This window comes from Homo sapiens, chromosome 14 (assembly GCF_000001405.40).
Source record: "Homo sapiens chromosome 14, GRCh38.p14 Primary Assembly".
Taxonomy (NCBI): Eukaryota; Metazoa; Chordata; class Mammalia; order Primates; family Hominidae; genus Homo; species Homo sapiens.
This window is the reverse complement of record NC_000014.9, coordinates 66,405,466-66,418,910: the sequence shown is the minus strand read 5'-3', so window position 1 is coordinate 66,418,910 and position 13,445 is coordinate 66,405,466. Positions and strand designations below refer to the sequence as shown.

The 13,445-nt window shown below is 35.9% G+C and overlaps 1 annotated feature.

The window, feature by feature from the left end:
* Nucleotides 7,575-7,744: an enhancer, noted in NCBI's record as "experimental_35483 CRE fragment used in MPRA reporter constructs". NCBI's record gives its function as "activates a minimal promoter by MPRAs in K562 erythroleukemia cells, with activity observed for the introgressed 14:66877970 variant allele {active_cell/tissue: K562}" and the evidence as "EXISTENCE:reporter gene assay evidence [ECO:0000049][PMID:34662402]".

Here is a 13,445-nt window from a genome sequence, read left to right as displayed (position 1 = left end):
ACCCTAGAAAGAAATCCCATACCTTCTAGCAGCTAGTCCCAATGACCTCCCCACCACATACCCTGTGCAACCTCTAATATAATTTCTGTCTCTATGAATTTGCCTCCTCTGGATATTTTATATAAATGGTGTAATACAATATATGGCCTTGTGTGTCTCACTGATTTCACTTAGAATAATGTTGTAAGGATCATCTGTGTTGTAGTATATGACAGTACTTCATTACTTTTTATAGCTAAATATTATAATAGTCCATTTATGGATATGCCACATTTTGCATATTCATTCATCAGCTGATGAACATTTGGGCTGTTTCCACTTTGTGGTTTTTAACAATAATGCTGCTATGAACATTGTTTTAAAAAAATATTTATTTATAATTAAAAAATGACAAATTTATGTGTACAATATGATATATTGATATATGTTATACATTGTGCCATGATTAAATCAAGCTAATTAACATGTCCATTACCTTACATACTTATCTTTGTGTTGAAAACATTGAAAATCTATGGACTTAGCAATTTTTATTATTACAACAATAAAATAATAATTTATATTGCTATAATCTATAATGATAATAATTTACATTATTATTAGTTATAGTCACTATGCTATACAATAGATCTCAGGAATGTACACCTCCTGTCTAAACGAAACTTTGTATGTCGTAACCAACATTTCCTTATTTCTTACCCTTCTCCCTGTAGCTCCTGGTAACCATCATTCTACTCTCTGCTACTATGAGTTTGATATTTTAAGATTCTACATACAAGTGAGATCATGCGGTAATGATCTTTCTGTACTGAGAGAAGTTGGAAAATTGGAAATTTCTCTTATTTCACTTAGCATAATGTTCCTCCAGATTCATTCACATTATCTCAACCAACAGGATTTTCTTTCTTGAGGCCTAATAGTATTCCATTTGTGTATGTGTATGTGTAATATATATATTATATATTACACGTTTTCTTTTTCTTCATTCATTAATTCATTGATGGACACTTAGGTTGATTGTATCTATTGGCTATTGTGAATAATGCTGCAATGAACATGGGAGTATAGATATCTCTTTGACATACTGATTTCATTTCCTTTGGATTTATACCCAGAAGTGAAATTGTTGGATCATACGCTAGATCTATTTATGATTTTTTGAGGAATCTCTATACTGTTTTCCATAATGTTTGTGCCAATCTGCATTCCCACCAACAGTATAACACAGTTGCCTTTTCTCTACATTCTTGTTTACATTTATTATCTTCCATCTTTTGATAATAGTCATTCTAACAGGTGTGAGATGATATCTCATTGTGATTTTAGTTTACATTTCCCTGATGATTAGTGATGTTGAGTACCTTTTTATATACCTGTTGGCTACTTGTGTCTTCTTTTGATAAATGTCTACTCAGGTCCTTGGTCCATTTTTTGATCAAGTTATCTGTTTTCTTGCTATTGAGTTGTTTGTGTTCCTTGTGTATTTTTGGATATTAACCCCTTATCAGATGTGTGGTTTGGAAATATTTTCTTCCATTTCTATAGGTTATCTCTTCACTTTGTTGATTGTTTCCCCAGCTGTGCAGAAAGTTTTAGTTTGATGCAGTTCCATTTGTCTAGTTTTGCTGTTGTTGCCTTTGCTTTTGGGGTCTTATCCACTAGATCTTTGCCAAGACCAACATCAAGAAACTTTTCTGTTTTTTTTTTCTACTGGTTTTACAGTTTTGGGTCTTACCTTTAAGTCTAATTTATTTTGAGTTGATTTTTGCCTGTGAGGTGAGATGGGGTCCAATTTCATTTTTCTACTTGTGCATATCCAGTTTTCCTGACACTACTTACTGAAGAGATTGTCTTTTTGCCATTGTATGATTTTGTCACTTTTGTCAAATGTCAGTTGACCATAAATGTGTGTATTTATTTATGGCCTCTCTATTCTATTCCATTGGTCTATATGTCTGTTTTTGTGCCAGTACCTTGCTGTTTGGATTATGATAGCTTTGTAGTAGATTTTGAGATCAGGTAGTATGATGCCTCCAGCTTTGTTCTTTTTGCTTAAGATTGCCTGGCAATTCAGGGTCTTTTGTTTTTCCATATGAATTTTAGGATTGTGTTTTCTATTTCTATGAAAAGTGACACTGAAATTTTGATAGAGATTGCATTGTATCTGTAGATCACTTTGGATAGTATAGACATTTTTATGATATTAATTTTTCCAGCTTATGAACATTGTATATCTTTCCATTTATTTGTATCTTTGAAAACTTCTTTCATCAATGTTTCATACTTATAAGTGTACACATCTTTCATTTCCTTGATTAAACTTATTTGTAAGTGTTTTTCTATGCTATCATAAATGAGATTATTTTCTTGGTTTCTTTTCTGGATAGTTCATTGTTAATGTATAGAAATTCTACTATTTTTATATGTTGATTTGGTATCCTTCAACTTTACTGAATTTGTTGATTAGTTCTAACTTTTTTGATGAAGTGTTTAGGGTTTTCTATACATAAGATCATCTTGTCTGTAAACAGAGACTATTTAACTTCTTCTTTTCCAATTTGGATGCCTTTTATTTCTTTTTCTTGCCTAATTTCTCAGGCTAGGACATCTAGTATATGTTGAATAGACATGGTGACAGTGGATGTCTTTGTTTTGTTCCTCACCTTAGAGGGAAGGCCTTTCAACTTTTCATTGTTCAGTATGAGGTTAGCTGTGCCTTTATTATGTTGAGGCACAATTCTTCTATACCTAATTTGTCAAGAATTTTTATCATGAAAGGATGTGAATTTTGTCGAATGCCTTTTCTGCATCTATTGAGATGATCACATGGCTTTTGTCCTTCATTAGGTTAATGTAGTGTATCATATTTATTGATTTGCATGTATTGAACTATTCTTGCATCCAGGGATAAATCTCACTTGATCAGGAATGAGTGATCCTTTTAATGTGCTGTTGAATTAGGTTTGCTGGTATTTCATTGAGGATCTTTGCATCTATATTCATCAGGAATATTGGCCTGTAATTTTCTCTTTTTACAGTATCCTTTTTGGGCTTTGGTATCAGGGTATGATATGAACTCTGTTTACAAGTTTTGGTGGAACATATCTTTCCAAGTCTCTTGGAATTATATTTAGGAATGAAATTGGTGAGTCATATGGTAATGCTATGTTTAATTATTTAAGGAACTGCCATATTGTTTTTCATAGTGGCTGTAGGTTTTTACATTCGCACCAGCAATGTATGATGAAGGCCCATTGATTTTTAATTTCAAATTTCTAGGAGACAGAGTCTGGTTTCCCCATCTCAATCAATATCCATTTGGGGTTCTCTTTGGGTAAGGTATGTACTCTGTTCAACACAGCTCAGTATGGGTGTGGGCAGTGGGACATGGAAGTAGAATGGTCATGAAAACACTCATATATGCAAAGGCCCATTATGTAACAGTTCTCAGAGAAGGGATCTGGTATTTTGGATTTCTCCCTTCCAGTCTAAACTCAACCTCACCCCTAGAATATCAGATTTAAAATAGTTTTGAATCATGAAAGTGGTTGGTTGATGACAATTTCTTATTTTTAAATTGAACTGAGCCTTGAACTTTTCTTTAGGACATGGCACAAAACTCTTTAGTGGCTAGTAAAACTAACATATTCGCTTTGAATAGATATTTCTTACATCAAACCTGTGAGGCATATGAAAACTCCGACCCAATGTGGAGCTGTTAACTGAAATGTACAAGATCATAAAGCGAGTTAGTGACCATCATAGAATTAGCATAGCATTTGGAATCTTATTGCCACTGATTAGATTCTTAGGCCACTTGGCTGGAACCTTAATTATTGTCCTTCCATGCTATTTTGAGACCCAAAGTCCCCTTCTTTATTCGTTCTGTTGGGGAATTTGTAGACAAAACCTCACTTAATACTTTGCAAAATGAGTTGCTTTATAAAAACCCCAGAATGCAATCAAATCCATCTGTTTTCTCTTCTACATTAACTTATTTGTTGTAGTAAAGCCCCAGACAGTCCTCAGAGAGATACAGTTATAGGAAAGAAAACTGATTATAAGGGAACAATTTTAGGGTCATTGAGATTTATTCCCCCATATGCAAAATCTGCGTAATGTGTGCAATAGCCTGAGATCACCTTGGCATAAAGCATAGCTCACATTTGAGAAGCTGATCATGCAGCCTGCACATGAGGGGAATAATAAGCAAAGGATTCCCACTACAGAAGGTTTAACAATCCAGAGCTTAAGATGTTGCAATGGAAATGAGGCTGGTTATGCAGCCTTTTAACTGAGCATTATTCTGAAGCTTGTCTCCTAGTATTAAGGCTCTTGAAAATTCTTGATTTGGATTCAAATGGAGAGAAGAATTTAACATTTGCCTTGCTTTTTGTGAAAGTCAAGATAAATTTATACCAGCTAACCTGAACCTGATATAGACTATATGTGTGTATGTGTGTGTGTGCATGTGTGTGTGTGAGAGAGACAGAGAGAGACAGAGAAACAAAGAAAGAGAAAGAAAGATTGATCAAGTAATAGATATAGAGACCTGAGTATGGAAGATTAAATAATGATGGATAGTAAACCTTATAGAAATTTTATTTCGTTCACATTATTTTTGATAATTTTGATTTATTCCACATTATTTATAATAATTTATGATTATTGGAAGTTATGTAGCTGAGTCCTTGTGGAGTGGCAATTCAAATGTTATATGAGCTGATGGATTGTGGGCCATGTTGCTTCTCTTCTACTCCTCTCTCCAAGAGGGCCCCCAGACACAGCAGGTGACACTGATGGATGGTCCCTGCCTGGCTCCTTATTGAAACTCCACATTGTACACAGAAAGGGTGAGATAGTTGATGCCTCAGTCAGGAGCAGACAACTAACAGGTCAATAGAAACTGAACCTGAAATTGCTGTCACAGAAGCTTGTTAATAGCTTTTGGCCTTGATGTACAGCTGCACTACTTTGTAATTCAGCAAATGTGGTGCTGAGGGACTGCTCCATTAGATCCATCTGTAACCAGAAGTCAGGTGATCTGGAGCCCAGCTTCAGCGGGAGCCCTATGACCTTGGGAGGATTTTTCAAGACCCCTGAGATTATTCCTTCACCTGCCAGAGTGATTGGGTGGGTGTTGGGATTTTCCTAACCAGGGTTGACTAGGATAATGCATGGGTAAGTATCTTGAGAAAGAAAAGGTATTACCAATAAAATAAAACTAGACAGGCCCAAATTCCCTCAGGGGCATTTCTCCTTCTAGGGTGGGGAAAGTGGTAGAACTAATGTGCTTCAAAGCAGATATTGTGTATTTTGTCTCATTTAACCCCATTAAGGTTGGTATTATTATACCCATTTTGCAGATGAGTTCACTGAGGCTCAGAGAACATAAATGACTTGCTCAAAGTTGCTCTGTCAGTTTCCACTTGGCAGAGGCAAGATAGGAAGAAGTATGTCTTACTCCAAAGTTGAGTCTGAGGTGTGTGAGTCTTACCTCATTGCTCAGCCCAGTACTTACTTCTACATTAGCAACCCATCTCCTCTCCCATACTTCTGCCACTTACCTATTATATGACCATGGGCAAATTAACCCTTTTGAGCCTGGTTCCTTATTTGTAAAAACAGAATTAATGCCACTGACCTTGCAGGCTTGTGTGAAGATAAATAAGCATTATAGCGCCTGGTCATGGGTGGGCACAGAAAATACGCCTTATCTCTTCTCACATCCAGGCCTTCTGCCTCTTCCATGCTGCTGACTCTATGATGTTCCCTAAGTTCGACTTGTGCCTCAAGACTTCCCTTCTCCCGTCAACAAGAAGAATTAGAAAATGTCACTGCACATTATCTTTCCATTTTTACAGACGTTAAATACTTTTTGAGAAATACTCTTAGATATTTTCTGAGCTAGGCACATAGGCAAGTTCTCTGGAGGAAGATTACTCTTCAGTGGAAGGAAAGAATGTGCCTTGAGCTGTTGCAGGGGTGACTCAAGGCAGAGATTTTTGACACCGTTGATCATTTTATTTGTATTTCCTTAATAGCTGACAGCCATGGCACCATTATTCTCTTCTAGTGACCATTATTAATTCCATTTAACATTTATCAATAAGTAAAATATTAATGAAGACTGTGATGTAACATTATTTCACTTTAAGATGGTGATTTTGATGCACATACTTAACTCTCCTTCCTTCCACCCAAATTCCATTAAAGACAGCCAAAGAAATTATGACAACATCTGCAGCAGAGCTGGAGAGTAGAAAACAATGCTATCATCAGGCCAGAAACTTTCAGAAATTTTGATAAGATACAGTTTACAAAAAACTAGATTTAGGGTCTTACTGTATAGTAAGAGAAACTCTGTCTTAGTCTGTTTTGTGTTGCTATAACAGAATATCTGAGGCTGGGTAATTTGTGAAGAAAAGAGGCTTATTTAGCTTACACTTCTGTATTCTGGGAAGCATCTGCATGACTTCTGGTGAGAGCCTTATGCTGTTTCCATTCATAATGGAAAGTAGAAGAGGAGTGGGCATGTGCTAAAAGATCACATGGTGAGGGAGGAAGCAAGAGAAAGAAACCAAGGAAGCCACATGCTTTTTAAACAGCCTGCTCTCCTGGGAATTAATCCTACCTATTCTTTGTCTTAGTCTGTTTTGTGTTGCTATAACAGAATACCTGAGGCTGGATAATTATAAAGAAAAGAGAGAGATGCCCTAATCTATAAAAGAAAGGCATTAATCTATTTATGAGGAATTTACTTCCTGCTAGACCCCACCTCCCAACGCTACAATATTGGGGGTCAAATGTCAACATGAGTTTTTGCAGGGACGAGCCACATCCAAACCATAGCACTCTTATTTTATAAATTTTTGTTAAAACTTCGTTGTGATTTGAATTGTCTCTCTCTGAAGGATGTGTTCAAGTCCTTACATACATACCTATGAATGCGGCCTTATTTGGAAATAGGGCCTTTGAGGATGCAATCAAGCTAAATCGAGGTCCTACTGGATTAGGGTGGGCCATAAGCCAATCACTGGTGCTTTTATAAGAAGCGATATATTTGGACATAAACGCACAGGCAACAAAACCGTGTGATAATGGAGGCAGAGATTGGAGTGGCGTGGCTGAAAGACAAGGAATGTCAAGGATTGTTGGCCCCCACAAGAAGCTAAAGAGGGAGCATGATTCTGCCAACACCTTACTTTTGGACTTCTAGCCTTCGGAACTATAGGAGAATAAGCTTCTGTTGTTTTAAGTCACCTAGGTTGTGGTAATTTGTTATGGTAGCCTAGGAAACTAATATGAGCCTTACTAAACACTTTAAAATATGGATTCAAAGAAGTACTGACCTAGCTGCAATTCAACACATGTGAAGGAAAGATTCATCTGGCAACAGTGGATGGATGTCCTTAGTAGGGACCCAGATAATCTTCCAGCTCAGAGTAACTGGGGCTCAAGCCAGTGTGAAACAAATCTGAACCCTACAAATGACCTTGGGAAGTTGGATCTTGACTACACACAGAACAACTGGCCAGGCATTTCACCCTTGCTATGATCTACTATGTCAGGTAAAACAGTGGCATCATTTCCACAGGATCCTGTTGAGGAAAGCTCTGCCAGTCAGAGAAGGGGCTGGCACAAAGGACTACAACAGACACACAAAAACATCCACTAAGCACAGGAGTAAACTTTCTCACATATGCTTGCTCCTAACTTCAGGGTACAAATTCAATTGCCAATCTTGAAAAACTAAAACTACAAAAATTTGAAAATTTTCATTCTTCTTTGTCTAAAACTAAACAGCTTGAATAGAGATCCTTATAGTTTCAGAGAAGCCACCTTTTAAATTCCAAAACAGGAAAAATGTAGACAGTCACTCGTTGAACTGAAATTTTAATTGAGCACTACTATTTGTTAGTAGTATTATACTGAATGTTATGCTAGGATGAGTGTTTTATTCAGAGGTAACATCATATGCAAATATCGGAAGGCAAGATAGAAAGAGTACATGATACAACCAAGGAGCTGCAGGAATGGATGAATAGGGAAAAACCATTGGACCTGTGAAATTTTAAAATAATTACTCAAATTATTGAAATAAAGGGGGCCAGTCAGGGCAATCAGAGGAAATGACCCTTTGAAATGGACTTATTCCCCAAAAAAATCAGAAAAAGAAAAGTCTTTGGTCAATCACCAATTCTTTTTATTATTTTAATACAAGATTAGAGAGGACACTGTATTTATAAAAACATAATAATTTGAGCCTAGGAAATATTGCCATAAGAACAGAAGTATAACCCTTAAATTAAAAGTTTTAAAGGCAGCAGAGAGAAAATTGAATTTTGCAATAAATTGAATTGGTAAATTAGATGATTAGGTTGAGAAATTCTCCCAGAACACAGAGGAAAATATGCAAGCATAACCATATGAGTGTAAAGAAAAGGTACAGAGGAAAAATCCAACAGATCCAATATTGGTATAATAAAAATATCAAAAGGAGAGAGCAGGTAGAGAAAAGATAACAAAAAATAAAAAAAGGTCCTAAACTTAAAGAAATACTTGAGTCTTCAGCTACCTACTAGGTTTCAAGTAAAATTTAGTATTTAGACTCTCACACTGAGATACAGCCTAATGCAGTCTTCTTCCTGCATTCAAGCAAAACCAAAAACAAACAAAAGAGATTATCTAGGGAGGGAAAAATAGATGTTTCAGCATACTGCTTTTTTATCACATGAATTACTGGAACATAGGAAATAGTATATATAGAATTTTGAGGGAAAAGATTGTTACCCAAGAATACCTTCTTCATCTTATGCATGAGGGCAACAGAAAATCTCTTCTCAAACACCCAAAAGCTCATAGTGTTCTTTCTGAGAAAAATTCCTTGAAGAAGTCCTATAGCAATTCAAGAAAGAAATAAAAATAAATAATTCAAATTGAAGGAAGCCAGAGCATCCCGGAACTATTTGCAAGGAATGAACCAGTCAAATTTAGTGTAGTATATGTATACTTGTGTAATGGTTAACATTATAAAATTCAGCAAAAAATGTTAAAATGATAATCTGGATCTAAGAAGATAGTTTATTTAGATAAAAACTTAGGAGTGTAGAGTAGGGAGAAGACATGCACAGGGGCTCTGCAAGGACATAAATTTTGTCTAATTTGTTTACTATTTTAGCCCCAGGCTTAGAACAGTGCCTGACACATAGTAAGTGCTTAATGAATGAATGAAAAGTCTGCTAAATTTCTCTAATCAATAAACATGAAAGATTCCTATGAATCAATAATAAAAGGACAATTTAATAGAAAAATGAAAAAAACCCACAATTTATAGGCAATTTGGAGAAAAGCCAAGTGACTAAAAAAAATGAAAAAGAGAAAAGATGCTCAGCCTAATTAGTAATCAGAAAAATACAAATTAAAATAACCAAGATATACTAATTCTCATTAACAAGCTGATTGTTAAAGATCAGTATGGCTCACAATATCAAGTGGTGAGTATACGGGGAAACAGAAACTCAGTCTGTTTGTATTAGTCTGTTCTCACACTGCTATAAAGAAATTCCCAAGACTGGGTAATTTATAAAATAAAAAGAGGTTTAATTGACTCACAGTTCCACATGGTTGGGGAGGCATTGGAAAACTTACAATCATGGCAGAAGGGGAAGCAGGCACATCTTACATGGTGGCAGGCAAGAGGGTGAATAAAGGGGGAAGAACCCCTTATAAAACCATCAGCTTTCATGAGAACTCACTTTCATGAGACCAGCATGGAGGAAACTGCCCCTGTGATCCAATCATGTCCCATTAGGTCCCTCCCTTGACACGTGGAGATTATGGGGATTACAATTTGAGGTAAGATTTGGGTGGGGACACAGAGGCAAGCCATATCACTATTAGTGAGACTTTAAATTAGTACTAAATATTTGAAGAATTTGGCAATATCAAGCAAAGCTAAAGATGTGCATACTCTATGTTTCAGCTGTATACTCTAAAGAAACTTACAAATGTTCCCCACATGAACGCCTCCAAGGATGTTCACTGGATACTGTTTATAATAGTGAAAAATGGAAACAACCTAAGTGTCCATAAAAGGGGATAGATAACAGTGGTTAATTCATACAATTGAATAATACACATCAGTTAAAATTAGTGGATAGCATTTGTGTTTCAACTGAATATTAAAAACGTATAGTTACTAAGAGAAGAGCAAATTGTAGAATGGTGTGTATAGCATGCTAATATTCATGAAGAGTTAACAAGCCCTCAGAGTCATACATGCATTACTATGAATTTCATATGCCTGCTTAGATAGCTAATAACAGAAAGAAACAAGAATTAGAAGGAGATATTGCAAATTCATGATAGTGATCACCTCTACAAAGGAAGGACAAAGAGTTTTGAGACTGTGGATTGCAACAAAGAACTTCAGTTTTATCTATAATGTTTTACTTCCTTTCTTTAAAAAAATTTAAGCAAAGAGATAGAATTTAGTATTTATTAATTCTGAATAGTAGATACATGGGTGTTTGTTTTATTATTCTTGTACTTTGTTTATTTTTAAAACCTTTCATACTCCCCCAGAAATATAATCAATATCTAAGCCTATGTCTTTATAAAAATGTTTCCTTTAGAAGATTAGCTGATGGGTTTCTAGAGACGAGGCAGTAAGTCCATGTAACTGCTAAAATTATACTAATAACAACAACAATAAAATTGATGTGTGCTGTGTATGTGCATTGCTTTTTGGAGAGGGTAATACTCTGTCATTTTCAAAGGCATTTGCAAATCTGTTTACAAATTTTGATTTTGATTTTGGTTTGTGCAGTAGTTGAATGGTGTTTCTGGTATTTAGCGTCTGAGGCCAGGGATGCTAAATATCCTGAAATTTGCAGGTGTGCTCCCATAAAATAAAGAATTGATCAGCTCCAAATGCCTATTACATCCCTTGGAAAGATATTGAGTTAGAAATTGAGGCTGGGCATGGTGGCTCACACTTGTAATCCCAACACTTTGGGAAGATGAGGCGGGTGGATCACTTGAGGCCAGGTGTTTGAGACCAGCCTGGGCAATATAGCAAAACCCCATCTCTACTGAAAAAAAAAAAAAAAAATTAGCTGGGCACAGTGGCGCATGCCTGTAATCCCAGCTACTTGGGAGGCTGAGGTGTAAGAATTGCTTGAGCCCGGGAGGTGGAGGTTGCAGTAAGCTGAGATCGCACCACTGCACTCCAGCCTGGGTGACAGAGCGAGACTGTCTCAAAAAAAAAAAAAAAAAAAAAAAAAAAAGGAATTGTATTCTGCTATGGATAACAGAAAATCCTACTAGTGGTTTAAACACATAAGCACTTTCTTTTCCTTATGTAACAGGAAGTCTGGAGGTTGTTGGCATTGGTTCAGTGTCTCAGGGAGGTCAGGGCTCAGTTCACTGTTTCTATTTTCCTTTCCCTCACAGGCTCACAATGGCTGTTGAAGCTCTAGCCATCAAGTGCAGTGTCCAAACAGAAAGAAACAAGGGCTGGAAAAGGGAAGGGCAGTAACTATATTTAGAAAACAAGACTTTTCCAGAAATCCTCAGTAGACTTCTACTTAGGTCTCATTGTTCCACAAAGTCTTGCCTGCTGCAAAAGAGTTTTTGGCTTTGCAGCCTTTATACTAGAGGAAAGAAGAAAAAAAAAAGAATTTGGAATGGGTGCTAAGTAAACCAACCCACAGTATTTGCTGCAAAAGTGAGTAGGTTAAATTTTCATACTAAAGTAAAAAGAGTGGGTATATCAAGGTTCATTCAGGAAAACAGAAACTACTCTGAGTATTTAAAACAAAGGGAATTTAATGCAGGAAATTGGCTACATAATGGATAGAAGAGTATAGAAGTTAAAGAGGAGACAATGAGGTAGCCTAGGGATTACAGCCTCAGGAAGCCACTACCAGCAATTTGCAGAAAGATGAGGGGAGAAGGCAGAATTATTAGGGTCACTTGGCAGAATCTGGAAGCAGAACAGGCCCATCTATCAGGAGTTGGAGCCAGAGAAAAGCTGTAGCTATTGCAGGAAACAACACATGAGAGGTAGGGGAAGAGAAACAGCCTGGTTTATCCTTTTCTCTTACTGTTTTTTTCTGTTGGCCAAACCCAGTTGAAAGCCAGCTAACACAGTCTGTAGGGGCCCCACTGTGATGCAGAACTGAGCAAGAATGACAAAAAATAAATGAGAGGGCAAACAGGTCCTCGACCAAGCACTTTGGGTCAAAACACAAAACATACTTCTATGTAAAGTAAAGGAAAGTATGGGCAATAAAAGTAAATCAGGAGCGACAAAATCAATATCAGATGATGATGTAGAATTAAAGGATCAGGCCATTAAATTAGATGAGAAAGGGTTTCTTCCTTCCTTCCTTCCTTCCTTCTTTCCTTTTTCATTTTTATTGCTAACGAGTATAATTCATAACATAGAAATCATTGAAACTCTAGGTGCTAAGCAGTATGGCATCATATATATATAAACATCTCTTAGAAATACGAAGAGAAATTCAAAGAACCATAATCATAGGGGGTGACTTTAATCTCTTTGATAGACAAGCAAACAAAAGTAAATAAGAATATTGAATAATGGTTCATAGTAAGACATATGGCAGCAGCCAAACCTAAAATCAGAGATATTCACAGCTTTAAGTGCTTTTATTAATACACAGGAAAAATGAAAATACATGGATTCAATTATGGCCTCAATTCAAGAGGACATAAAAAAGCCTATATAATTTTAGGAAAGCAAGAGAAAGAAATCAATAAAAATAACAATACATTTAAACAAATAGTAGAATTGATAAATTTACCAACAACCTATTTCAAAAAGATCAATAAAAGACACAAACTCTTGGAAAACCTTATTACAAAAAAAGTAGCAAAAATATCCAAATACACAGCATTAAGAATAAGAATGGTAATATAATCACAGATCTTGAGATCAAAAATATTATTAAAGCTATACTATGTATTACTTAGTACACTTGAAAATCTCAAAAAAAAGGATAATTTTATAGTGATTTTAAAAAAATTAAAGAAGGCCTCATTATGGTTCATGATGTCCTGCAGTTATACTCTGTCATGGAACCAGTAATTCTCCTGTATGACATCTATCATGATGAAATGCAAATTGAATATTCTGAACCATTTCCCCCATTAAACTATTAGCATCCTGAGGGCAAGAACCATGTCTTATGTGATTTTTCATCCTAGAATCTAGCTAAAGGATACAGCAGTACATGCTTAGGGGATGTTTGTTGAAAAAAATTCTCCTTTCCTCCCTCTCTTCCTTTCTTTTTCCCTCTGCTTTTACTTTCCTTCATTATTCTTTTCCTTCTTCAACACCCCAAAGAATAATCAAGAAGCAAGATCCATTTACCTTAGAATAAAGAGCACCTATTTATGTCATTCTTTACAACCTG